The sequence below is a fragment of the Homo sapiens genome, chromosome 2 (genome assembly GCF_000001405.40).
Source record: "Homo sapiens chromosome 2, GRCh38.p14 Primary Assembly".
NCBI lineage: Eukaryota > Metazoa > Chordata > Mammalia > Primates > Hominidae > Homo > Homo sapiens.
In genome coordinates this window covers 223,995,047-224,020,559 of record NC_000002.12, presented here as the reverse complement: position 1 = coordinate 224,020,559, position 25,513 = coordinate 223,995,047, and the positions used below count along the sequence as shown (strand labels likewise).

At 43.4% G+C, this 25,513-nt stretch overlaps 1 protein-coding gene and 1 long non-coding RNA gene across 8 annotated transcripts in view, besides 3 other annotated features; one reads left to right on the top strand and one right to left on the bottom strand.

Moving 5' to 3' along the window:
• Positions 1 to 25,513, top strand: part of SERPINE2 (serpin family E member 2) — a 64,242-nt gene that overhangs the window by 18,727 nt on the left and 20,002 nt on the right. For 5 of the 7 annotated variants that reach the window (NR_073116.2, NM_001136528.2, NM_006216.4 and 2 more), the window contains 2 exon segments: positions 18,638 to 18,918; positions 22,218 to 22,445. Coding sequence is in view for 6 of the 7 variants with exons in the window: in XM_005246641.3 (XP_005246698.1) it covers positions 18,638 to 18,918; positions 22,218 to 22,445 (509 nt within the window). In the remaining variant the exon portion in view is untranslated. 7 annotated transcript variants of the gene reach the window in all.
• LOC124907990 (uncharacterized) lies at positions 1,240 to 11,683 on the bottom strand. Its single transcript, XR_007088102.1, has 2 exons — positions 11,403 to 11,683; positions 1,240 to 1,752 (listed from the first exon to the last, which is right to left on the bottom strand). It is a non-coding gene; the product is annotated as an uncharacterized LOC124907990 (long non-coding RNA).
• Positions 4,973 to 5,472: an enhancer, noted in NCBI's record as "H3K4me1 hESC enhancer chr2:224879805-224880304 (GRCh37/hg19 assembly coordinates)". NCBI's record gives its function as "activates a minimal SCP1, AML or CMV promoter by ChIP-STARR-seq in naive H9 embryonic stem cells {active_cell/tissue: H9 hESC(naive)}" and the evidence as "EXISTENCE:reporter gene assay evidence [ECO:0000049][PMID:30033119]".
• Positions 10,063 to 11,262: an enhancer, noted in NCBI's record as "MED14-independent group 3 enhancer chr2:224874015-224875214 (GRCh37/hg19 assembly coordinates)". NCBI's record gives its function as "activates an origin of replication core promoter dependent on BRD2, BRD4, P300/CBP and CDK7 cofactors, and independent of MED14, by STARR-seq in HCT116 cells {active_cell/tissue: HCT116}" and the evidence as "EXISTENCE:reporter gene assay evidence [ECO:0000049][PMID:35650434]".
• Positions 10,563 to 11,138: an enhancer, noted in NCBI's record as "H3K27ac-H3K4me1 hESC enhancer chr2:224874139-224874714 (GRCh37/hg19 assembly coordinates)". NCBI's record gives its function as "activates a minimal SCP1, AML or CMV promoter by ChIP-STARR-seq in primed H9 embryonic stem cells {active_cell/tissue: H9 hESC(primed)}" and the evidence as "EXISTENCE:reporter gene assay evidence [ECO:0000049][PMID:30033119]".

Genomic DNA, 25,513 nt, shown 5'->3' with positions numbered 1-25,513 from the left:
GTGTTCCAAGCTCAGCAGCATATTATATTAGTTGAAGAGGGGCAAACGGAGTGAGATCAGTGTTGAGTCCTAGTCTTTCACATTTCATTCCTGGGTTTTGCCCCACCATGGAAATATATGGGATGGTGCTTTCCAGAAGGACCTGAAACGCTAAGGTGTTATCTTGTTTCTATTCTGTTTTTATATGCCAAACACAAATGAATGGTCAGACCAGATATGGAAAGACCCATCTATCCCCCAACTCTCTTCTGACTCCTATACCTTTCTTTCTATTCTTCGTACCATTTCACTTCAGACGTCACCTGGAATACTGATGCAGGAGGCTAAGCTGAGTCTCTCAGGGTAGACAGTTCAACCTTTCCATGGTTGTTCATAAATATTACTAGGGATTTGGAATGCATGTTCCCACTAAAATGATGTAAATGTGGTTAAGTGATACCATATTAAAATGCATCATTACTTGTGTGATTCAGACAAAGTATGGGTTAACTAGGCATTTTGAAGGCAGAATTAAAATACTAACCACCACCACTTTCTCTGTAATAGTGGTTGCCAACCAGGGGTGATCCTTCCTCTCTCCTTCAGGGACATTTGTCAGTGTCTCCAGACATTTGGTTGGTCCATCTGGGTGGGGTGCTATTAGCATCTCTTGAGTAAAGGCCAGGAATACTGCTAAACATTCTGCAATACACAGGATAGCCCCCTACAATGAATAATTATCCAGACCCACATGGCAAGAGTGACAAGGTTGTGAAACTTTGCTCTAGAAATGTGTACATTCTTTTTTTTTTTTTAAAAAAAAAAAAAAAGACTTCCTCAAATGCTTTAGACCATACCTGCTTATAAGATGGTGGCCACTGTAATTGACCTTAATACATGATGGTAATCAACAGATCATTGAAAGCTTTGCTTTTTCATCAATGCCTCCATTATATATTGAGCACTTCAGTGTCCATGTGCCATGCTGGAGGCTGGGGTGCCATGCTGGAGGCTGGGGTGCCATGGTGAACAGGATGAACAAGGTCCCCAGTGGGCTCACAGGCACAAAGACAAGGGAAGATGACAGTGATCCAGTTAGAGGGAACATAGGCATGAAGGCCTGAGGCTAGGAAGAACCAACCACGTTCTGTAAACTGCAAGGAGGACAGGGCACTGTAGTCTCCACCTTATTGGTGGCCTAAGTTACCTGCAGTCTGAAAATTGGTACATGCAGTACAGTAAGATGTTTTGAGAGAGACATCACATTCCAATAACTTTTATTACAGTATATTATCCATATGTATAATATATAAAAAACAATATATTTTTATTATTGTACTATTGTTATTGTTCATCTCTTACTATGCCTAATTTATAAATTCAACTTTATCATAGGTACTTATGAACAGGAAAAAAACATAGTGTATATAGGGTTCCAAATTTTCCATGGTTTCAGGCATCCACTGAGGGTCTTAGAACGTATTTCCTGCAGTTGAGGGGGCCTCCTGTCTGTGGAAAAGGAAGCCAAATCCAGACCAGACAGGCCGACTCAGAGCCTATGGAGAGAGGGTGCTGAATTTTCTTGCAAGAGCATGGAGAAGTCATCATAGGGATTGACTCAGATTTTAGAGTCACTGGGGCAGTGCAGGCAGAGAGATGGGTCTAGGAGACCAGTGTCCTCCTCCGGAGATGTTGGTGGCTTGGGCTGGGGATAGAGGAGCTTGAGAGGGGTGGATCATTCAAACAATGGAGAGCTTTTCCTTGTTGATGGTTCTGTGGGATAAAGGAAATGATGAAGGACAGTTTCCAGACTTTGGCTTAGGTTCTTGGATGAACAGTTGGTGGTGTCACTTAGAAAGATATAGAACCTGGGAGAACAGCAGGGTTGGGGTGAGGAGTACTTTTTCTTCTCATCCTGGTTTTCTATGATAAAGGGACTTCTATATATCTTTCTACCCCTTTTATTATTTTATTATTATTTTTTTTTTTTGAGAAGTACTGTGTTTTAGAGTCTGCTTGCAAAAATGGAGGGTTTTTCTCCTGGATTACCTCATCTTCCAGTTACCATTGTTACAGGCTTTCCAGTGGAGCTCAGATTTATTTCTAAACGATCTCTTTGAGCAATGATCAAGCATTTTCTATATGAGGTATTTCATCCATCTAAACAAAACTGTGATGAGAGTTGGCCTAAACTCTAGACTTCTATCATGGAATGTGTTGACCACTGAGGCAGGGCTGGTCTGGCTTTAACACACTAAAACTTCTTAAAGAATTATGTTAGTATAATCCCACCCTATTTCAGTTTCAGGCTGGTAGGAAAACACTTCCTTATTCATGAGGTTGGCAGCCTTGGAAAGAACACAAGGAAAATCGCCAGAGCCTGACGCCCATTTCCTCAGTCGCCAGTGACCATCAATCATTTCCTAAGCCCATCATCAGGGCTGTCGATGGAGTCACAGGGCTGAGCTGCTTCCCCTGGGGAGGGCAAGGCCTCTCAAGTCACCTTCCCTGAGGACCTGTGACCAGATGTGAAAGTCTGATAAAGTCACATACTAGAGACCCTTGACTCCCTCTAATAACAAAGAAATAAAGGAAATTGAAAAAAGACCACAAGTCTTAAAGGCAGCTTTAAACATGTGTTTTGATTTTTAGAAATTATAATATTTGAACATTTTGCCCTTGAGGAAATGTTAAGCTGGACTGTAGTATAGGCCTTCAAAGCCTGAAGAGAGGACCCCAGGCCTTCGTGATGATGGTGGTAAATGGGGTAACAGCAGAGGCCAGCTTCGAGTGGGGCCTCAAGAACTGTCCTAAGAACCTGAGACATAGTACTTTTTAAAATCCTTATAACAACTCTTAAAGTAAGAACTACTATTACACCGATTTTCAGATGGAGGAGCTGAGGCACACTGAAGGCTAGCACTTGTCAAAAGTCATACAGATAATTGGCAGTGGAGGTGACATTTGAACTTGGGTGGTTTGTCTTAGGAACCTGCAGGGGCCATGTATAGTGTCCTAAATCCTTTTGTTAATTTCTTATAGAATAAGAATTAATACTGTTATAAGTCAAATAATTATGAGAATGTACAATTATGCAAGCACCCTAAAACTGTAGCTATTCTTTTTGAAAGGACCAAAAATATTACATTTTTGTGTGATTGTACATTTGCAGTACAGGGAAAAAGTAAGAAATAAAAAGATCTGTCTTAAGGTACATTGGCATTTGTTTGCTGACTAAAATTTTACAGTAGGGTTTTTTTGTTGTTATTTTGAGATAGTTATATAGATTCACATGCAGTCGTAAAAAAAAAAAAGTAGTAATTCAGAGAGCTCTCGTGTACCCTTTACCTGGTTTCCTGCAAAGGCATTATCTTGCATAACTGTAGTACAGTACCACAACCAGGAAACTGACATCACACAATCCACCCACCCTATTCAGATTTCACCAGGTTTACAGGTACTCACTGGGGTGTGTGCATTTACTTCTATGCAGTTTTATCACATGTATGGACTTGTGTGGGCACCACCACAGGCAAGATACAGGACATTTCCACCACAGGGACCCCTCATGCCTCCCTTTTATCGTCACACACATCCCTTTCCCTCTCTTGTTCTCTAACTTCTGGTGACTACTGATCTATTCTCCATCTCTGCACCTTTGTCATTTCAACAATGTTATATACATGGAATTACACACTATGCATCTTTTTGAAATAGGCTTTTCCATTCAGCATAGTTCTTTGAAATCCAACCAAGTTGTTTTGTGTGTCAGTAGTTTATTTCTCTTTATTACTGAGTAGTAGTCTGTGGTGTGGATGTACCACAGTTTAGCCATTCACCTACTGAAGAACATCTGGGATGTTTCCACTTTGGGACTATTAAAAAATAAAGTTGCTGTGAACATTGGTATACAGGTTTTTATGTGAAATGATTTTCATTTCTCTCTAATAAATGTCCAGCATTGCTGGATTATACAGTTAAGTGCATGTTTAGTTTTGTAAGAAACGGCCAAACTTACATTAAAAAAAAATAAATAATAAACAGAAACTACCAAACTATTTTTTTTTTTTTTTTGAGACGGACTTTCGCTCTTGTCGCCCAGGCTGGAGTGCAATAGCACAACCTCGGCTCACTGCAACCTCCATCTCCCGGGTTCAAGCGATTCTCCTGCTTCAGCCTCCCGAGTAGCTGGGATTATAGGCACCTGCCGCGACGACTGACTAATTTTTATATTTTTAGTAGAGACAGGGTTTCACCATGTTAGTGAGGCTGGTCTTGAACTCATGACCTCGGGCTCAGGTGATCCGCCTGTCTCGGCCTCCCAAAGTGCTGGGATTACAGGCGTGAGCCACTGCACCTGACCTACCAAACTGTTTTCTAGAGCGGCTGTGCCATTTTATATTCCCACCAGCAATGTGTGAGTGATCCAGTTTCTCTGCATCCTCACCAGCAATTGGTGTTGTCACTAGTATTAGCCATTCATCTGGACATATAGTGACATCTCATTGTGGTTTTAAAAATTTGGATTTCCCCAGTGGCTAATGATGTTGAACATCTTTTAATGGACGTATTTACCATTTATACATCCTCTTTAATGGAATATCTATCCATGTCTTTTATTTCCTAATCCGATTTTTTTTTACAGTTGGGGTTTAAGAGTTTTCTGTGTAGTCTAGATACTAGTCCCTTGACAGATACGTGATTGGAGAATATTTTCTCCTAGTCTCTTCATCATCTTTGCAGGATCTTTTGCAGAGTAAAACTTTTCATTTTGATGAGGTCCAATTGATCAGTTTTTCAGTTTATCAGTTTTTCGTTTTATGAAACTCAGGCTTTTAATGTCAACTTAGGGTTTTGATTCCTGCCTGTTGTCATGCGCAGTGCCGGGTGGTGAGAAAGAGAGCCATGGAACAAGATAGACACTGGAGTGTGAATGATTCTTCCAGTTTCTGTCCGGTTGGGTTCTGCAGTATGTCTTGATGAGCTGCCTATTTGTTGGAGTCATGGACACAGAGTTGCCCTTGTCTTGCAAAGGCTGTAAGGTGATGATGGTATGAAAGGAAAAATATTTCCAGAATAATCCATGGTACCTCCCAACACAAGGTTTGTTTGCACTTGAGAGCTTCTGTCTGGAATACTCTTCCTTGCTTCCATCTCTCCGCCCCTTTGTCCAGTCACTTCCAGTCCATCCTCCAATGTCTGCCCATGTGGCCCTTCCCAGGAGCACTTCCCTGGCCACTGCCTCTCACCCTGGCCCAGGTGTGCCTCTGCTTCCATTCTTACACACTCTCCTCGATGTCAGAGCATTTGTAAAGTAAATACGTGAAAATGAAAGTAAATATCAAGTAATAAGACGATTTGATTAAGGTCTGTTTCCCCTCTAGACCAGGCTTCCCCAACCTTGGCACTACTGACATTTCGCTGGATAATTCTTTGTTGCAGGCGGCTGTCTTGTGCATTGTGGGTGCTGCTCAGCAGCACCCCTGGCCTCCCCCCACCTAGCAGATGCCACGGCACCACCCTCCCTGGCCCCCACCTACCAGATGCCATGGCACCACCCTCCCTGGCCCCCACCTAGTGGTGAAAACCAAAAAAAATGTCTTCAGATAGTGCCAAATGCTCCCTGAGCGACAGAGTCACCCAGGTGGAGAACCATGCCTTGAGACTCTGAGAGGTGGGAGGGCAGGTACCAAGCCCCTTTTCATGCCTATTCTCTCTCTAGCATCCCAGCGCCAGGCCTGGCACTGTGGTGCTTCATTAATATTTGTAGGATAAATTAAGGGATAAACCAACTTAATAGGGGACACTTGTTTACACGGCAGCCTTGGAAATGCTACCCTGACTTCAAAGGAACAAAGTGGGTTTTGTTGGGCACTTGAGACCCAGGAGAATCTAGAGTCTTCTGTATTCAGGTGGATATGGGTTTCCTTATGCAGTACCCAAGACAGCCCCCACACTGAAGAGTTATGTCAGTAGTGCCGAGATAAAGAAAGCCTGCTCTAGGGCACAAGAGAACACACATTCCCACTCTCGCCCCAGGCGCCACACAATGATCCCTCTGACTTTCCCTCTGACTTTCCTTAGTTTAGAATCAGAGTCTCCGTCTGAAGTCCTAGACTGTTTCTCATCAATGCAATGACTGCATTGATACCAATTTACCTAGTGGTTCTCCCTGGAATTTTTCTTTTTTTCTTTTTCTTTTTTTTTGAGACAGTGTCTTGATTGTTGCTCAGGCTGGAGTGCAGTGGCATGATCTTGGCTCACTTCAACCTCTGCCTCCTCGGTTCTAGTGATTCCCCTGCCTCAGCCTCTTGAGCAGCTGGGATAACAGGTGTGCGCCACCATGCCTGGCTAATTTTTGTATTTTTAGTAGAGATGGGGTTTCACTGTGTTAGCCAGGATGGTCTCGATCTCCTGACCTCAAGTGACCTACCCACCTTGGCTTCCCAAAGGGCTAGGATTACAGGCATGAGCCACCTCGCATGGCCACTCCCTGGAATTTTCAAGCCAAGGCTTCTCTATTTGGGAGAGGAAGGAATGAGGCCAGTTACTTTTGTGTATCCTAGAAGGGAAAGGATGTGGTACTGGTAATTGAAGCTTTGGCCTGCCAGCCCACCTTATCCAATTTGTCAGCCCAGGTTCATCTACATCCTGTTGAGAAGTTTGGCAGCTGGAGGTGGACATGCACACACTACACTGAACCTCCTGCAACAAGCACTGCGGAAGGTGTGAACCCCAGGCTGAGTGACTGGGCAGCTGTTCCTCTGCAGGAATAGAGGAGCCCCAGCCTCCTGACACGGTGCACCTCCTGAAACCCACAAAGCAGCAGTAGGGAACCGTGGATGACATTACCAGTCCTCCCCACCTACCGCCTGGTCACTCCTTACAGGCTGCCTTTTTCTTCCTAAGCCAAAGCCAGCTCTATCATTCAGGTTCAGGAAACAGAACAGCCAGCCACTGAGAGAAAAACCTAAAACATTCATATATAATCTAAATTATTCTTACAACCACTGTTCTTACTCCCTGGGAGCTTTCTAAACCAATTTTATCCAGTTACCTGCTTAGCTAAGCAAAACGGAGCCCAAACCCCTGCTTCCCTCCTCTTCCTCGTGAAAAGGGAGCAGGACCCAGCTAGAGGGAAAGTGCAAGTGAACACTGCATTAGGTCTCCAAACCGCCCTGTGCAAGTCACCCCAGAAAGGCCACCTGAAGGAGGGCCTGTCCTGTCTGCTGGGAGGCCCTCTTTTTCTCACAAGGAGAGTCCATGCCTTATGGATAAACAGAGATGCCTTTTCTAGGCTGTGAGAGCACCACTTTGGCAGTGTTCATGGAGGATATGGGGTTTTATCAGGCAGGAACTCAGCAGCTCCCACGTTCCTATTTCAGTGAGCCGGGGAGAAAGGCAAGGAAACCCAACATATATTGAGTTACTACTATATACCAGGTACTATGCTAAACACAGAGAATAAAAAAATTAAGTCATAATCCCCACCATTAAATATCTAATATGTAGATTTGGCCACATACATAGGTCAAATCATGTTCACCAAAATAACACCACCATTTACTGAAAAAACTCAACATGAAATGGTCTGTGGGTTGTAATGGGGTGTAACATTCATCTTAGTGTATATAAAAAGATTCCACTTTATTATTTCTCAACTCTTTCTCCTTTTCCAGTAAATACCATTTTTATTAAAGTTTTATGATCCTTTGGTTTAGCCACTGTTGTGCTCCATAACCTTCTCTGCTCCCCTTTAGAACACATTTCAGCTATTCCAGAGTCTCAGTTCCTGATAAAAGGAAAAGGGATGCTTGTTATAAGTGGTGATTTCATTACAGAAATTTTGAAGGCTACATAACGGTATACAGAATAATAAATATTCATATTCCCACCATCAGAAATAACTATATAGATATTTTAATATCTGTCCTGTTAGTCTTTTTTTGTGCCTGTGTATAATTTTTTTTTTTTTTTTGGGATGGAGTCTCGCTCTGTCGCCCAGACTGGAGTGCAGTGGTGGGATCTCGGCTCACTGCAAGCTCTGCCTCCTGGGTTCACGCCATTCTCCTGCCTCAGCCTCCCAAGTAGCTGGCACTACAAGCACCCGCCACCACACCTGGCTAATTTGTGCCTGTGTATAATTTTTACATAGTTAATTATACCATACTTTTTTCCAGTTAAGATATATCCAGAATGTATTACCATGTCTTTAAGTTTTCTTCAGAGATAGGTTCTTAACAGCCAAAGGATATTGTGTTGGATGGATGTCATTAACTGTTCCTTATTGTTGGACATTTTAGGTTATGTTCTCCCAGAAGCAATCCCTGAGCCAAGCATAAAGTGCAAGTGATTCATTAGGAAGTGCTCCCAGTTGAAATAGTAAGGGAAGGGGAGAAGTGGGAATTAGAAAGGGAAGAAACCAAGCAAGAAATACCAGGTGAAGTCCCACACTCAGAGCTCATGGGGAGCTCTGGAGAGTCAGTTAACAAGCAGACCAGTAGTCAATGGCTGTTAGTCCTCAGGGAGGGAGTGGTGTTTGTGAACTCTCAACCACTTAGGGCCAACCAAGAAAGTGGCCTTCAACTCCCACTAGTAATTGACCGAGGTAACAGGTATAAACCATTAGCAACAAAGCAGATAAAAACTAGGAGATAAGTGCACAAAGCTGGTAAAAGGTCACCCACAGTGTCCCCTCCATTGGAGATTTAATTTGCAATTATAATTGCTATTGCAATTATTTATTGCAGAGAATATTGCAATACTTTTGCTACTGAAAATAATAGTAAACATTTTTGGACCTGAATCTTTTTTATTATCACATTAGGATTGATTGATAGAAGGGGTATTACTGTTCCAATAGATAGATACATTATTAAGATTATTTATGCGTACTAGGGATTGCCTTTAAAAAAGATTTTTAAAAAATCAATTTACATTTCTAACACTTGACACTCATTTTTTAATTGGCAAGAATCCAGAGAGTGTTAGTTTCTCGTCTCTGAATTGGAGGCCCATAGGCATATCAGGGTTATTCTAAAGGATCAGAGAAATCATGTTCATGGCCCAGTTTTGATTATAGATTGATAAATAATATCTCAAAATATGATTTCTTAAAATGTATCTAGGTACTGATAAAAAGAATTTGGATTTTATTGACATGTTTAAGAATTCATGGTTGTATTTTATGTATTTTTACCAATACTAAAAACATGGTCATGAACTATGTGTAATATTTTTTATGTCTAAAAAAGGTACTTCCATGTCTCTTGCTGAAGAGAGAAATTAAAAAGGTACTTCCTTGTTTTTAAAGATTGAGAACCATTGGTCAATGTCACTATAATGTCTTGGGTCACCTCTTGGTTGCTGGATTAGGAAATCAGCCATTTGGACCATTACGTCTTAAAGACATATCAAAAAGAAAAGTCTATAGGACTTGATACATAGGTAAACCAGATTTAATGATCTGAGTCAGCAGACCGAAAAACATATCTCAGCACTATTAAAGGTTTTCTGGGACATACTCACCCCTCCCCCTCCATTCCCACAGTAATGGACCCCTCAGTTCTCTTACAGAGACGGCAAAACGCACCAGCATTGTCTTAATTTATTTCTGAGTCTTAAATAGTCTAAGGAAGTTATAAAGATACAGACAAGGCTTTATCAAGGTAGCAGTGTTTGACTGTTTTCTTAGCTTGATCCTTGAGACTTTCTAAATGGTTGCTGAAATACAAATCAGAGTATTTCAGGTCTTGAGCATTGAAGAGGACCAGAAGAAGAGAGCCAGCATTTACTGAACACTTGCTCTGAGCCAGGTATTAGGCTGGTTACTATGTCTTTCAGTTTGCACCTATTGAATTTCCATGGCCACCCTTGAGATATGATTTCTAATATGGCAGAGGACAAAGCTAAGACGGATGAAGATTGTGACTTGCCTTGGATCTCTTGGTTAATGGGTAGTAGGATTGGAATTTGAACTTTAGGTGAATTTTCCCGGAAACTTAGAGGAAAATAGAATGAATATCCTGTAATCTTGAATTTTAAAAGACAGACTGCTAACAAAGCTCTAATCCCCTCCTTCCCCCTAGCCTTTTCCCATCAACCCAAAGAGATTTCAGAATGGATAATATATGGATAAAAGGCACTTGATGTCAGAGTGTACTTTATAATAAAATATGTGTCTTTTCATTGAAGGGACCATTTGGATGTTGCTGCCATACTTTTCAGCGGCTGAAAAGGTATTTCCTAAACATTTTTAGGTTCCTTTTTGGCCAAATTAATTAGTGTCATAGAATGAGCATACACTTTGAAGGCAGACAAAAATTTAAGAAAAAATTCAGATGTCTCTAAGTCTTTCTCCACTAACCTGAAAAACACATTTTAAAACTACCAAGCTGCTGTCCCCTTGATAAGTTGGCATTTCCTGTTTGTTCTCTAAATTTTAAAGATGCTGAGTCATTTTGCTAGTACTTAGTACACTTCCCAAGGATAACCAAGATGTACTTTAGTTTGCTTGTTCACCTGATTTGGTATCATAAGAAAATGTGGTAGATGTTTGGAAAATGAATACAGGTCTTGGTGGACATTATTTCAGTAATGCTTATACAGATTTGAGAGACAGAGACCATATGTGAGGCTTAACCCCGATTACTTGTACATTAACAATTACTGTCATCTTACAGAGACAGCCTTAATCTCCATGGCTCACCTCCTGAAGAGTTTCTAGAATGCCTCTTGCCAAACACCGTTGAGTGTTGGCAAAGTACTGATGAGAAATGTTTGGTCTGAATGCTGGACAGCACGATTTTACTTAAGGCCATTCAGAAGTCTCAGTTTGGCAGCCACAAACCTTGCCTGTACATTTGTTTTGTTGTTGTTTTTTTTTTGAGACAGAGTCTCACTCTGTCACCTGGGCTGGAGTGCAGTAGCACAATCTCGGCTCACTGCAGCCTCCACCTCCTGGGTTCAAGCGATTCCCACACCTCAGCCTCTGGAGTAGCTGGGATTATAGGCATGTGCTACCACACCCAGCTGATTTTTGTATTTCTAATAGAGACAGGGTTAAGCCATGTTGGCCAGGCTGGTTTCGAACTCCTGGCCTCAAGCACTCTGCCCACCTCGGCCTTCCAAAGTGCTGGGGTTACGGGCTTGAGCCACCGTGCCCGGCCTGTACATTTATTTCTTTGGGAAGCCCTGGCAGGAAAAGCTGTTGAGAGATGTCATGATTCGGACAAAACATACCTGCTGTTTTTCTCTACCTGCTGTAGCCCCTGTAGATTAATAAGGGGCCTTAGGTTCCAAGAACCAGGATCCTAGCAACACAGAGACTAGAAGGATGGCGAGACTTTCCCAGTGCCTGAGAAGGTGTCAGCTTTCACTGAGGGGCGGGGAGGGGAGAGGCTGAGATAAATCCGGGGACTCACCTTGCCGTGCTGTGTGTCGGTTGTTTGTCGCTGGCATCTGCACTGTTAGGATTCCATTTTTAGGCTGGGCTTGATTCAGGAGGCTCGCTGCTGTCACACGAGGGCAATCCACTTTGATTCTCCCAGCCCAGCTTTTAATGCCCAGCAGACTCCTTTATCTTGTCATCATCCAGCGAGCCTCCCTCGGTCTAGATGGCCATGGGAGGCAAACCCGTTCAGTGTCAGCAGCTGGTCTTTCATAATTTGATTTTCCAGTGATGTTTGAGCCATCGGTGTGAAACAGTCACCAGTCTGGCTCTCATAATTTGAATTTCAGTATTTGGATATATTCCAGAGAGTGGTGTAAATGGACTTTGGATTTTCCTTATCACTGTTGCTCAGCATTTCCACAGTTTAAAACATTTAGGGTTTATTAGATAAGGGTGCTCAGTGCTACTGTTTCTCACTAAAAGGAACCAGAGCTCCCTGGAGAAGTGGCTGATTCCATCTGGAACAGAAGATGTATAAAATGAGCCTAAACATCTAGTCAAACCGGAAAGCAAGGAGGCTAACAAGACTGTAGGGTTGTATCAGAAGGTTTAAGAACGAGTGTGAAGAGGCTCATTTTGAGCACCAATAAGAATAAATTTGCAGTGGATCGAGACCCTTAAAGTATGTTGAAAAACACGAGTTTATAGTGATACAGAAAATAGAACCCTCTGGTCAATCAACCTATTTTGAATTATTTTGAAAACTGTTGGATATGGGAAATGAATGAAGAATTTGTCCTGCCCTTGTAACACAAAATAAACCTCAGGGCAACCAAGTAGTTGATTATGGAAAACTTCTTTTTATATAAATATTCTAATTAATAAGTGAGGGAGGAAAGTTAGAATTATAACAGCACCCACATTTGGTAACTCTTAATAAAACAGTGCACTTAGGCGGTCATCATAAGTAGCTTGCTAACACCACAAAAAGAGACAGTCAGCTACCGTCTACTGATTTCACCACCCTCTACGGCACCTCTACAAAATATTCTTACAAAAAGAGAAAATTGACTTGAATCTGATCAGTCCCTACAGCTGGGGTCAGCAGGCTTTTCACGTAGAGGGCCACATAATAACTGTTTTTGGCTTTGCAGGCTATACCGTCTCTCTTGCAGCCGGGCACCTCTGCTCAGCTCCCTATCATAGCACAGATGCAGCCATAAACAAAGAAAAAAGCGTGGCCAGATCTGGCCCATGGGCCGTAGCTTGCAGACCCCTGCTCTAGCTCTAACAGTTTACAGGAAGGACAGAAGACAGAGAAACTTGTTGAACAGCATGACATTAATGCAGTTAGCAAAATCTACCCTGGGGAAACTCTACAGGGCAAATAACCTGTTTTTTTCAACAGAAAAAATTCCAAGGTTAAAAATGAAGCAACTAGTGGAAGATGAAACAAACAAACAACCAAAAAAACAAAGGCAAGAGGTGTAACCAGTTGCAATGTATGGAGCTTACTTAGATCGTAATTCAAATATACTATAAAAAATGCGAACATGGACTAGATATTTGACATGTTAAGGAGTTATTTTGCGGTGTGATAATGATGTCATGGATATCTATTTTAAATCCTTAGGCTGAGTCTATATGTTGAAATTATTTTGAATGATATTATATGATGTCTGCAGTTAACTCCAAAATCATCTTTGATTTGAGTAGAAATAAACCAAGCCGTGAGTTAATAATTGTTTTTTCTGGATGTTGAGTATGGGGGGGAGTATTAAATATTTGCATATGTTTGATATTTCCCATGATATAATGTTTTTAAAAATATATGTATGTTTTATAAAACATGATCACTTTAAACCTTTTATAGAGAATGAGAGAGCATGGAGAACTTTTCCTTCATTAGACGCTTCTGTGTCCTCCCAAAATAGGTGTGCACCATCCAGCTATGAATGGACCCAGAAGAGTCTTTCCAGTGGTTTTTCCCACCAAGCTGTCTGCCTACAACTTACTTATTATGCTACATAGAGCAGACTAGTGTCATATTATTTATCATTTGTTCATGCACTATATGTAAACTTTTATTTCATAAAAAGAATTTATTAGGTAGAAAATGAGCTTCATGTTTTGTGTCTGGCTATCCTAGTTGCCACTGTTCAGTTGTTCAGCACTGGTTCCAGGCTAAGGGGTCTCGTCACAGGTGCTCACACAGCCTGGAGAGGTGATGGCAGTGGCGGCCATGGCAGGGTGTGAGGCAGCAGGGAGCAGCGGGAGCGAGGCACGCTGGAAAGTGGGTGCCCAGCCCATAAGGGGTGGCGTCTGTGCAGAACATTTGCCATGGGGGTGAGGGTCCAGTAGTACTAGAACGTCCACTCTTTTTCATTTTTCCTGAGAATAACCCTAATCTAGACTTGTGACATTTTTTGACTTTTAGTTGCTAAAAATATTTTTAGAATACTCTGTATTGCACATCAAACACTTGCTGGATTAGTCCCACGGGTCAACCTCTGATTTTGTGTCTACCAATGAATGGTAAGGCCCTAAACTGACCCTGTGGGCACCAGGAGTCTACAGTCCCTGCTTTCCGTGAGCTTCCAGTCTACTTGCGAGGAAAGAAAACATACTTGGAAAACAACTAAAATGAGACAGGCAAATAGGAAATGCTATAGGAATTCAAAGAAGAGAATAAAGAACCTCATCTTTAACAATCAGGAAAAACATCACACACACCGTGGAAGGAGTTGGGTAGAAGTGTCACTGTTGCTAGGTGGAGGCTAAGGGAGAGAAGCAGAGGCTCGGGCTTGGGTAAGCAAGCTCTTTCAACAGAAACTATGATTCTTGAAAAAGAGAAGAGTTGGTAGATTTTTGGAGACTAGTACCCCTCCCCACCAGTGGATAATTTTTCTGAACGATCAAGTGAAAACAGGTAGCAAACTGTTGAAAGTATAGCACTGCAATTCAGCAGAGAGTTTGAGGATTTGAGCTGCATATTTGAGCATCACCTGTGTAGAAGAGATGGTTGACGCCATTGGGTCTATAGAGAGTGGGTTCCTCTAATGTCTGCTATTGGCAAGCAGTCTATTTATAAATGTTAGGGTTATATTTTGAGTCTGGCATTTGCAAAACTACCATCCCATTATTTACTACGTTAAATCATGGTTAAAACTCAAAGCAGTACCCAGCTATTTCATAAACATTCCCCGTATTGGAAAGGAGAAAGGTTTGAAGTAAGAGAAACTAGAAGAACATAGGGAAGGAGATACCTGGCATTTGGAAGGATATGCCTGTGGCGATGGCTCTACTGATGGGCTTATGATCTTCCCTCCAATGATGGCCTAGAGACCTATTTTTACTGTTGTGAAACAATATTCAAGCAAATGATAATCTTCCATCTTGTTGCTATGCAGTACATTTGGGCAGCACTCTTATTTCTCTCTGATTTGAAAGTTTAAAGTGTAATTTCTCTTAAAAAGGAAAATAAACAGGAGGTTTCTATGTACTTCCCATTATGGCATCTGCTTGTTCCAGAGATCAAGCATTTCAAAGCTTGAGAACTCCAAGTTACTTCATGTAAACGATTGTCTATTTGGACATGAGTGTGTTTCATTGTTAGGAATTATGCAGGCCTAAAGTAATTTATAGATCAACACCCACTCTCCTGGCTACTGAACTTTGGAGAAAAATGAAAGCTTATTCTTAGACACGTATATAAGCCAGGTGAGTTTAGACGAGTGAGCATTTGGCCTAGGAAACCAAGGCCAAGGAGAAGTTCTGCCCAGCACATCAATCAAAAATAGCTCTGATTCCAAGTTCTGCACAGCTCTAACACTGTCCCAGTGCACTTTTATGAAACTGTACATAGACAGCTCTCAAAAACTTCCCAAGTCCAAGAAACCCAGAAAAACACCCATAACAGCTTTCTTCCGTGTCATAGGAAAACTGTTCTTTTAGCGAAAATTTATAATGAAGCAGAATTCTGCTAAATAAGATGGCTGTTTATTTGGGAGACTGTCCTTGTGACTTTAAGACATTGGAGCTGTTAGATTTCTCACTGTCACTGATCCTTTCACCCTGTTTTTACAATGTTTTATATATATATATATATATATATATATATATAATATATATAAAATATATAAAATATATTTATATATTATATAATATAATATATAATACTACATATATATAATATATATGTAGTATTTGAGTCTATCAACTTTAAGCTACCAGAGGCAAAACCAGTTTAATGTTCATGTCTTCTGAATCCAAATTCTAATATTTATTCAAATATTCACTAATCTAGGAGCATTTCTTTGGGGAGGCTTCAGGAGTACAGATTATAGTGGGCCGAATGTAGACACCAGAATAGACTATAATGCAAGAGACAACAATTGAGATGGATGAAGTTGGTCACTGCATTTGGCCATTTGTAAGAAAGATTGTACACAATGTTTTATACTTATGATGACTTTGTGCTATATTAAATTTTAAAGAGGATATTTATTGCTCAAAAGAAAGAAAAGGCAAGAGGGAGGAAGGAAGGGGAGAACACAGTTTCTAGTTTTTAGATGGAATGAATAAAGCTTCCACGGTCATGATTTGGACGCTCTCCAAAGTCCAGTAGGCTCCAGGAAACTCCAGGGATTGTCGTGGCATTAGAGCCAGTCCTAGGTGCCAAAGTCAAAATAGGCCACGCTGGCCCGTTGAGCCCAAGCGGGAGCAGCGTATGTAGGTCACTTACATGTTTTGAATTTAGACGGGCTGAGTTGATACAATTGTTTTACAATGAAGCTCTGGAGAAACACGGAACATTCTAAATCTTTAGAAAAGCGCTTGTTTCACAACATATAAGAAACTTGCAACATCAGCTGGAAGGATGGCCTCAGTGGTTCACAGTGGGGCCCTCTGTGTCGGGGGGCCAGGCAGGGAGTTCTGCGTGTGCCCACAGTCCTTGCTCGATGTGATGGTGGCTCTTCCCTCAGAGAGTGTCTTGAGCTGACCGTGAGGATCAGGATTAAACACAAGCGTTTTCTTAGCCACACTCCATAAACGCTGTTGTGATGCAGGGAAAGATTAATTAATAAAAATAGGAAGTATTTATGAGCCATCGGATTAATCTCACAAGTGTTTATTGAACATCTCCTACGCCCTAGGGTGGGAAGCACAGAAAGTGTGTAGAAAGGAAGGCAAGGAGACACCAAATACGGGGCCAGTTTTGCCTAACACTGTGGTTGTGCCCATGCTTTCCCCCAGAGCACACAGAGACATGATTTCCCCCTCCCTCCAGGTCACCTGTCTCTTAAAAGGCCCCCTTCTGTTTTATTCTCTGCAGTCACCCCTAACCTCCCACACGTAACAACAGAGTGGGACACATTGGCTCCACGGGAGACTGTGCTTAGCAGGAGCTTGGGCCTCTTGGGGAAGAACTGAATTAGCAACATCACGAATGCTGCTTTTGTTTTACCAGCTGCCACTGTTAAGTTCTTACTTAATGAAAGTATTTGCTTTTCCATAAATACATGTAAATTTCCTACCTCTTACTTGTCATAGCCAGAGAAAGCTCTGTGAGTGGTAATTAAGGAAGGAAGCTTCTTTAAAACAAATCACTGTAGTTGAGAACATCCGTGTAAGCAACACCATCCTCAAAATTGATGAATTTACCAATTGTCCTACCCTATTGTAACTTTAAAGCAGTCACTTAAGTTTATTTTAATTAATAATTCTTTAATTTTAAAAGCAGTGTGCTTATGGTAAAAGAATCAAGCGCTTGTGGTTATAAGATAATCAGAGCAACCCGAGGGATTCACTCCCTTGTTTGAAATCCTCCAGGGGTTTCTTGTAACCCTTGGAGTGAAATCCCAGTGCCTTTCCAGGCTCTACAGGACCTTACCAGATCTGAACTCTCCTTCGGCTTCACCCACCTGTCTCCCTTCTTTACGACCTTGATTTCACATCCACACTGGCCTCTAATACACCAAGTTTATTCCCACGTCAGGGCCTCGGCCCTGCTCTCCCTCTGCCCAGCGTACTGTTTACCCATCAGAGTGTGGCTGGCTCCTTCCCCCATTCAGGTCTCATCACGATGTTCCTGCCATAGAGATGGCTCCCTGATCACCCTATCTAATGACCACCCCCCGCACCCTGCCGGCCCCTCATCTGCTCGCATCCCTGTATTTTATCATTGTGCTCTTTATCCTTTTCTGAAAATGCTTTATTGCTTGCTGGCTTATTTTCTGTCTCCCTTCTAGATTGTAAGCTCAGTGCGGGTGAGAGTCTTGTCCATTCAGTTATGTCATATGCCTAACACTTAGAAAAGGGTCCGACACCCAGTGAACCCTCAGTAAATATTGGCTTAATTGGATGAAGGGCACTTATGAGAATTAAATAATGATTAGGCTGAGCATGGTGGCTCACGCCTGTAATCCCAGCATTTTGGGAGGCCGGATCACTTGAGGCCAGACATTCGAGACCAGCCTGGCAAACACAGTGAAACCTCATCTCTACTAAAAAAAAAAAAAAAAAAAAAATTGCCAGACGAGTTGGCGCACACTTGTAATCCCACATATTCAGGAAGCTGAGACGTGAGAATCACTTGAACCCGGGAGGCGGAGGTTGCAGTGAGCCGAGATTGCGCCACTGCACTCCAGCCTGGGCAGCAGAGTGAGACTGTTTCAAAATAAATAAATAAATAAAAATAAAATAACCGAGAATTAAATAATGATTAGTATAGGACCTGGCACATTGTAAGGACCCAAGAGATGGAAGTTTGCTTCCTTTCCCTCCCCACCTCCCCAGGGTGTGTTTTGAAAACTGATTTAATTACACTGTTCTGTCTTAAATATATTCACATGGCATTCAATTATGCTGAGTACAGTCAAGCATACTAGGTGAGTACAAAATGGCCTCGCAGGCCAGGTACAGTGGCTCACACCTGTAATCCCAGCACTTTGGGAGGCTGAGTCAGGCAGATCACTTGAGGTCAGGAGTTTGAGACCAGCCTGGCCAACATGGTGAAATCCCATCTCTACTAAAAATACAAAAATTAGCCGTGTATGGTGGTACACGCCTGTAATTCCAGCTACTCAGGGGGCTGAGGCAGGAGAATTGCTTGAACCCAGGAGGCGGAGGTTGCAGTGAGCTGAGATGGCACCACTTCACTCCAGCCTGGGTGAAAGAACGAGTCTCTATCTGGGGGAAAAAAAAAAAAAGTAGTAAAGTACCCATTTAAGTATAATTTAAATATTTTTTAACTTACTTTTCCAGGTCGTCCTTGGTGGAAGGAACCATGAACTGGCATCTCCCCCTCTTCCTCTTGGCCTCTGTGACGCTGCCTTCCATCTGCTCCCACTTCAATCCTCTGTCTCTCGAGGAACTAGGCTCCAACACGGGGATCCAGGTTTTCAATCAGATTGTGAAGTCGAGGCCTCATGACAACATCGTGATCTCTCCCCATGGGATTGCGTCGGTCCTGGGGATGCTTCAGCTGGGGGCGGACGGCAGGACCAAGAAGCAGCTCGCCATGGTGATGAGATACGGCGTAAATGGTGCGTGTGCACAATTGCTCACTGGCGGAGCCTTTGCCTGAGAGTCTTGTGACAGGAGGGTTTATGGCTTGGTTTTTGCTGACAACCCCAAGAAGCAGAGCAGCCAGAAGGGGATTTGCTGGTGCCACTTGGGGCTTGGGGTCAGTCTCTTCTAAAGAACAAACACTGTGGTGCTGGCAGTTAGGAGAACTAGACTCTGGTCCCTTTTTTGTACTTTTGGAGCTTGGGGTCTGCCACTAGGTCTCCTTTCCCAGGGCTCCAGCCCTCGTTCCAGCGAGGGGGACACTTCCTGGCTTACCGCCTCCATGGCGCCCAGGGTTGAGTTGCGCTGTGATCGTAGATGTGCTTGTGAAGCCTGTGAGAGGAGCTGGGAAGGGGTGGCTGTGGAGGGCCCAGGGGCCTCGTAGTGATGGAGCCATCCTGGGTCTTGATTGTGGTGGTGGCCACACAAATCTGCACAAATGATAAAGTTGCACAGACCCCCCTCCCCAAGCCCACAACAGGAGTGTATGGAAAATGAGTGAAATCTGAATGCACCCTGTGGACTGACCTGATGGAAATTTCCTGATGCAACGACGGTACCACTGGGAAGACTGGGTGAAAGGCACGTGGGACTTCCTTGCATATTGTTTTGCCACTTCCTGTAAATCTATAATTATTTCAAAATATAAAGCTAAGCAAAGACTTGGAACCAACCCGAATGTCCATCAATGATAGACTGGATAAAGAAAATATGGCACATATACACCATGGAATACTATGCAGCCATAAAAAAGAGTGAGTTCATGTCCTTGCAGGGACATGGATGAAGCTGGAAACCATCATTCTCAGCAAACGCAGGAACAGAAAACCAAACACGGCATGTTCTCACTCAAAAGTGGGAGTTGAACAATGAGAACACATGGACACAGGGAGGGGAACATCACACACTGGGGCCTGTCGAGGGGTGGAAGGCAAGGGGAGGGAAAGCATTAGGACAGATACCTAATGCATGTGGGGCTTAAAACCTAGATGACAGGTTGATGGGTGCAGCAAACCACCACGACACATGTGTACCTATGTAATAAACCTACACGTTCTGCACATGTATCCCAGAGCTTAAAGAAAAGATACAGATAGATAGATAGATACGTAGAGAGAGAGAGCGAGCTAAAAAAATTGTTTTAAAGTAAGGCCCAATGAAAAAGATTTAGTTTGAGTTAAAGAAAAACCTTTCTTAAATGACCCATTTAACTGCACGAGCTTCATCCTCTGGCACTGTTTTACTTCAGCTGAGGGGTCTTGCCCAGAGCCATGTCCCACCTGCTGTCTCCATAAATGCAGTGCTCAGGGGAGCAGGACTGGCTCCCCCCCTCTTCCTGGCCACCAGCACCCTCTGTGACCTTGCAAAAGTCACATTCACATCTAGGTCTGCTCCCTTCGTTGGAAACAAGGGAGTCTTCCTGCCCGTGTTCTTCCACCCAGGCTGGCCCGAAAGTTCTGAGAATCTTGACTGCACTGGCGTCGTCAGCTGGAGAGTAAGATCAGTGAGGTGGCGATTTGTGTCCTTCAGTGCCTCGCTCTGCACCCGCCTCCGACTCTGCTCAGCGTGGCCTCCAGGGCTGCCAGCACCAAATGCCTAATCTCACTGCTCTGTTGATGCAGCATTACACTTCTGTACGAGTTTGCAGTTTGTTCACCTGTTGGAAGCATGGAAGGACTAAATACTTGGAACACACTCTTCTGCCCCTTGCTTGGAAGTTCAGAAAACTCCTGGTGATTTATAACTTCATGGTGGATCACTGCTAAAATTTATGACCTTTCCTAGTGTGATCCAGGCTGTGTCGGCCGAGACAGTTCCAAAATAGCAACTGGACTTTTGTTGTTTGTTTTAATGCTGAGCCACACTGATTTTAAGCCATTATTTCTGAAGTTCTAAGAATATTGGCCCGTTGGCCATCCACCACTGCCTCACCCCTACCCCAAAAGGGCCAGGAGCTGGCAGTTGGCCTTGGAATTGTCTTTCAGCCTCCAAAGCCGGCCGTTTTCTTACTTGTAGAATGGGCCTGCACCATAGAACAATTGTAAGGTGTGGTCATGGGCATCTAAGAGAGGGCCATGCACGTTGTAAAGCCCTACACACGCCCCTGTTTGTGGGCCCTGAGAAGACTGCCCCCCTCCCCCGTGTAAAAGGCCTGAAGAGGACGCACATTCAGAGTGACAAATCGGCTCTTTAGAGGACCATCAAGGTGACTCTGGCAGGATGTTTTAGGACAGTGCCATTTTGAAGAGACCCCAAGCGATGAAGAAGGATCTGTAATTTGAGCTCTCTTTAGAAACACATTTCATCCTTATAACTTATTTGCCTCTTTTTCACCCTCTCAAACTAAATGGAGCATGTATGAATGGCTCATGTAAAATAAAGCTTACGTTGCCATAAAATTAATCTCCTTACTCTTTGAGCTTGTTACCAAGTAAAAACCACATTGTTCTGGATGGTGGCCCATGGTAATTTTTTATAGTCTTTCTAATGCTTATTTTATTCATTTTTTTTCCAAAATAGAAAAAAAGAAATTACATTGTTAAATCTTTGGCAAGAAAGGAAGTAGCACTTAATAACGTTAGACAAGAAAGAGAGAAAGCATTAGGAAGTTCCCTTTGATTTGTTCCCCCTTGGCTATAGAACTGAGGACTGTGCCAGCATTCATACTGACCTGGTGCCCAGAAAGGCTACCATGAGAATGAGGTCTGCATTGGGAAGGTGGTGAGAACACCTTGAATATTCCTGTTTTGATGCAGAAGCACAGTTGATTTTTGAGAGCTTCAGTGGTTAGACTTTAACCCCACTCCCTCCTTTTCTTAAGAAATAGGCCCCTGAGAGAACAGAAGACTTAGTTTCTTGCTACTCATAGCTATCCTGTTTATACTGTTCTGTTATTTTTATTTTTGAGACAGGGTCTTGCTTAGTCACCCAGGCTGTATGCAGGGGCCCGATCATGGCTTACTGCAGCCTCGACTTCCCAGGCTCCAGCGATCCTCCCACCTCAGCCTCCTCAAGTAGTTGGTATCACAGGCGTGCCACCACACCCAGTTAATTTTGTATTTTTGGTAGAGACAGGGTTTTGTCATATTACCCAGGTTGTTCTTAAACTCCTGAGCTCAAGCAATCCACCCACCTCAGCCTCTCAAATTGCTGGGATTACAGGTGTGAGCCACTGCACCTGGCCTATACTGTTCTTACTTGCTGCAACATAAAAGATTTTAAAAACTTTTCTAGATTCTTATGGAAGTATTGCTGTATCTTCTGATTTCTCTTTTAGGAGTTGGTAAAATATTAAAGAAGATCAACAAGGCCATCGTCTCCAAGAAGAATAAAGACATTGTGACAGTGGCTAACGCCGTGTTTGTTAAGAATGCCTCTGAAATTGAAGTGCCTTTTGTTACAAGGAACAAAGATGTGTTCCAGTGTGAGGTCCGGAATGTGAACTTTGAGGATCCAGCCTCTGCCTGTGATTCCATCAATGCATGGGTTAAAAATGAAACCAGGGGTGAGTGGCCGCAGTATGTCATTTGATTGCATAGTTTGTGAATGAAGCATGAGTTAGACTCCAGGGTTCAAAGTGGTGTCTGCAAGTCCAATTCAATGGCCTGTGGGTTGAGAAACTCCTGGACCAAGGAAGCTCTATTCAGTCTCCCTCCTTCCCCTTCAATCTGCCATTGCTCACTGTGCTCCTGGGAGGTGTTTCTCCTGTAGTTTGGGCAACAGAACAGAATCCAGCCCCTCCACTGTCTCCTCTCCTTGCCATATCTGGTCTCCAGCATCCTTGCCCACAGGCTCTTGTTGATTTTGAAGGTTTTCTTGCTCATTCCTTCCTGCTTTTGCATCTGCCTCTCCCTTTACCTGGAATGTCCTCCTCATCCTTCCAGGTTGATTGATCTCTTTGCCTTCCATGCCTCTTGCTTCTGCCATTGCCAAAGACATAGGTACCCTGTTGTCCGTTATGATTGGCACATGATTACAACTTTTACACCCCCCCGATTACAGCCCTTTCCACATCTCAAAATGATTACTCATTTGTAAGTGTCTCTTCTCCCATTAAATAAAGGAGAGTCTAACGTTGGTGTTTTAAAACTTAATTTGTAGGCCAGGTGCAGTGGCTCACACCTGTAATCCCAGCACTTTGGGAGGCCAAGGTGGGTGGATCACCTGAGGTCAGGAGTTCGAGACCAGCCTGGCCAACATGGTTTATCCCATCTCTACTAAAAATACAAAAATTAGCCAGACATGCTGGCGGGCACCTGTAATCCCAGCTACTTGGGAGGCTGAGGCAGGAGAATCGCTTGAACCTGGGAGGGGGAGATTGCAATGAGCCGAGATTGCAACCCTGCACTCCAGCCTGGGCAACAGAATGAGACTGTGTCTAAAACAACAACAACAAAAAGAAACAAAAAAACAAAAAAACCTTAATTTGTAACGTGGAGGTCCAGTTGGAAACATGCAGGAGGAGCTGTAGGTCTGGAACAACAGGAGAATGTGAAGGATGGGAGTACAGATTTGGGACCTTTTTTTTATTTTTAATTTTTTGGAGACAGGGTCTCACTCTGTCTCTTAGGCTAGAGCGCAGTGGTGCAATCATAGCTCACTGCAGCCTCAACCTCCTGGGCTCAAGTAATCCTCCCACCTCAGCCTTTCCGGTAGCTGGAACTACAGGTGTGCGCCACCATGCCTGGCTAATTTTTTTATTTTTTGAAGAGGTGGGGTCTCACTGTGTTGCCCATGCTGGTCTCGAACTCTTGGGTTCAAGCAGTCCTCTCGCCTCAGCCTCCCAGAGTGCTGGGATTATAGGCATGAGCCCCTGTGCCTGGCTATAGAGCCTTTTTTCATAGAAGGGAGAGAGTCAATAGGAAGAAGAAGCCCAAAGACAAAACCTAGGGAAACTGTCGCCTTTCAGGCTATGTTTCTTAAAAGTGTGGTTACTGGTGTCCCTGCATCAGAATTATCTGGGCTATGTGTTGAGAAGGCAGATCCCTGGAGCCCAGCCCACTGCATTGGAATCGCCGAGGGAGTGGCTGGCAACTCCCAGTCTGCCTCTGCCTCCCATCACCATTCTTACACACCCAGATGTTGGAGACCCATTAGCAGAACTAGTGAAGAGGTGGACAAAGAAGGCTCCAGGGAGGGTGGAGGAGACCCCAGGTGACTTGGGTAAATTCGTGGCGTCCCTTCTCAGTGGGGCCTGGACCATGCAGTCTGGGCGCCCTTCCTAAAACCATAAACCATCGGGAGGTCAGCACACATGAGGGTGTTCAGTGGAGTCTCCAGGTGTCTGGCATCTGTAGGCTTGTGAAGAGTGGTCAGAAGCAGACGCCCTCAGGACTGGTTCTTGGTCCTGACTCTGTGGCTGGAGGCTGTGTGACTGTGACATGTCATTTTGTCCTCTTAGCCGCTGCCTTGATCTGTAGAATGGCAATATTAAACCACATTAGTTAGACCATGTGACAGTCTTCAGAGCACCTGGAGAAAACCCCCACGTGTGCTGGGAAGAAGCATGGAGACTCCTGCAGCACTTTGCAGCCCTGTCAGCCCCAGCTCCTCCGTTTGTAACAAATATTTTTAATACTCTCTTTACTATTCTGAAATGAAATTCATACATCATATTACTCTATGCACACACACAAATTTTTAAAAATTTGAGACAGTGCCAAACTGTAATACAAAGGAAAACAAAAGAAATGTATATATGTAGTTCAATAGGTAAACCCTTGGGTACAACTACACTCAAATACGTAATAAAGTAGTCAGAGTCTCAGAATAATTGTGAATTGACAGCTACAAAAGCAGACAGAGACAGGCATGTTGTCCTGGTGACTCATAAACATGAGCTGTGTTAACTATTGCTGATGCAATTTTTTCTGAAACGGTGCAAGACTTTTGATAAATTTCTGAACAAAACAAAGCACAGGCTCTGCTTGATTTGCGTGGGACTCACATTCCTGGCAAATTCAGCATACATGAAAAGGATGCAAAAACAAAAACAAAAACAAAAACAAAAAACCCAAAACACCCTGTGTTTACACACGAAAAAGAACGAGGTTCTGGGCTCAGATAATTATAAGTAGGTGTCCTACCAATGCAGAGATCCGGTGGGGTATTGAAAAGCCACGGGAGAAGCAGCACAATTCTTCATTGGGTGGGACTGTTTTGAACATTGCAGGACAGATAGCATTTCTGGCCACTGCCCACTCAATTAAAAACATCCCTGCCAAATTCCAAACTGCCTTTACCTGGGGGTGAACTGCCCCCACTGAAAGGTACATGACCACATGGTAGAGCTCAGAAGTGACTTGGAGCTCAACTGTTTGTGTCTGGAAGGTTGCTGGGTCTGTCTCACGGAAATGATAGTTCCTTCCCTACAGAGAGTGGGAGAGCCCAACGCGCAGGCCTTTTGCAGGAGGAGACCCATCAGGGATGGGTCTGGCCTGTTGACCTCTGCAGACTCACTCATCCTTGTACTCTATGTTCCAGCCACACAGGCCTCTTCCTAGTCCCCTTACCCACCATCCTGTCTCCTGTTGGAGAACCGCACACATACACTCCTGCTGCCTTCTCTCCCTC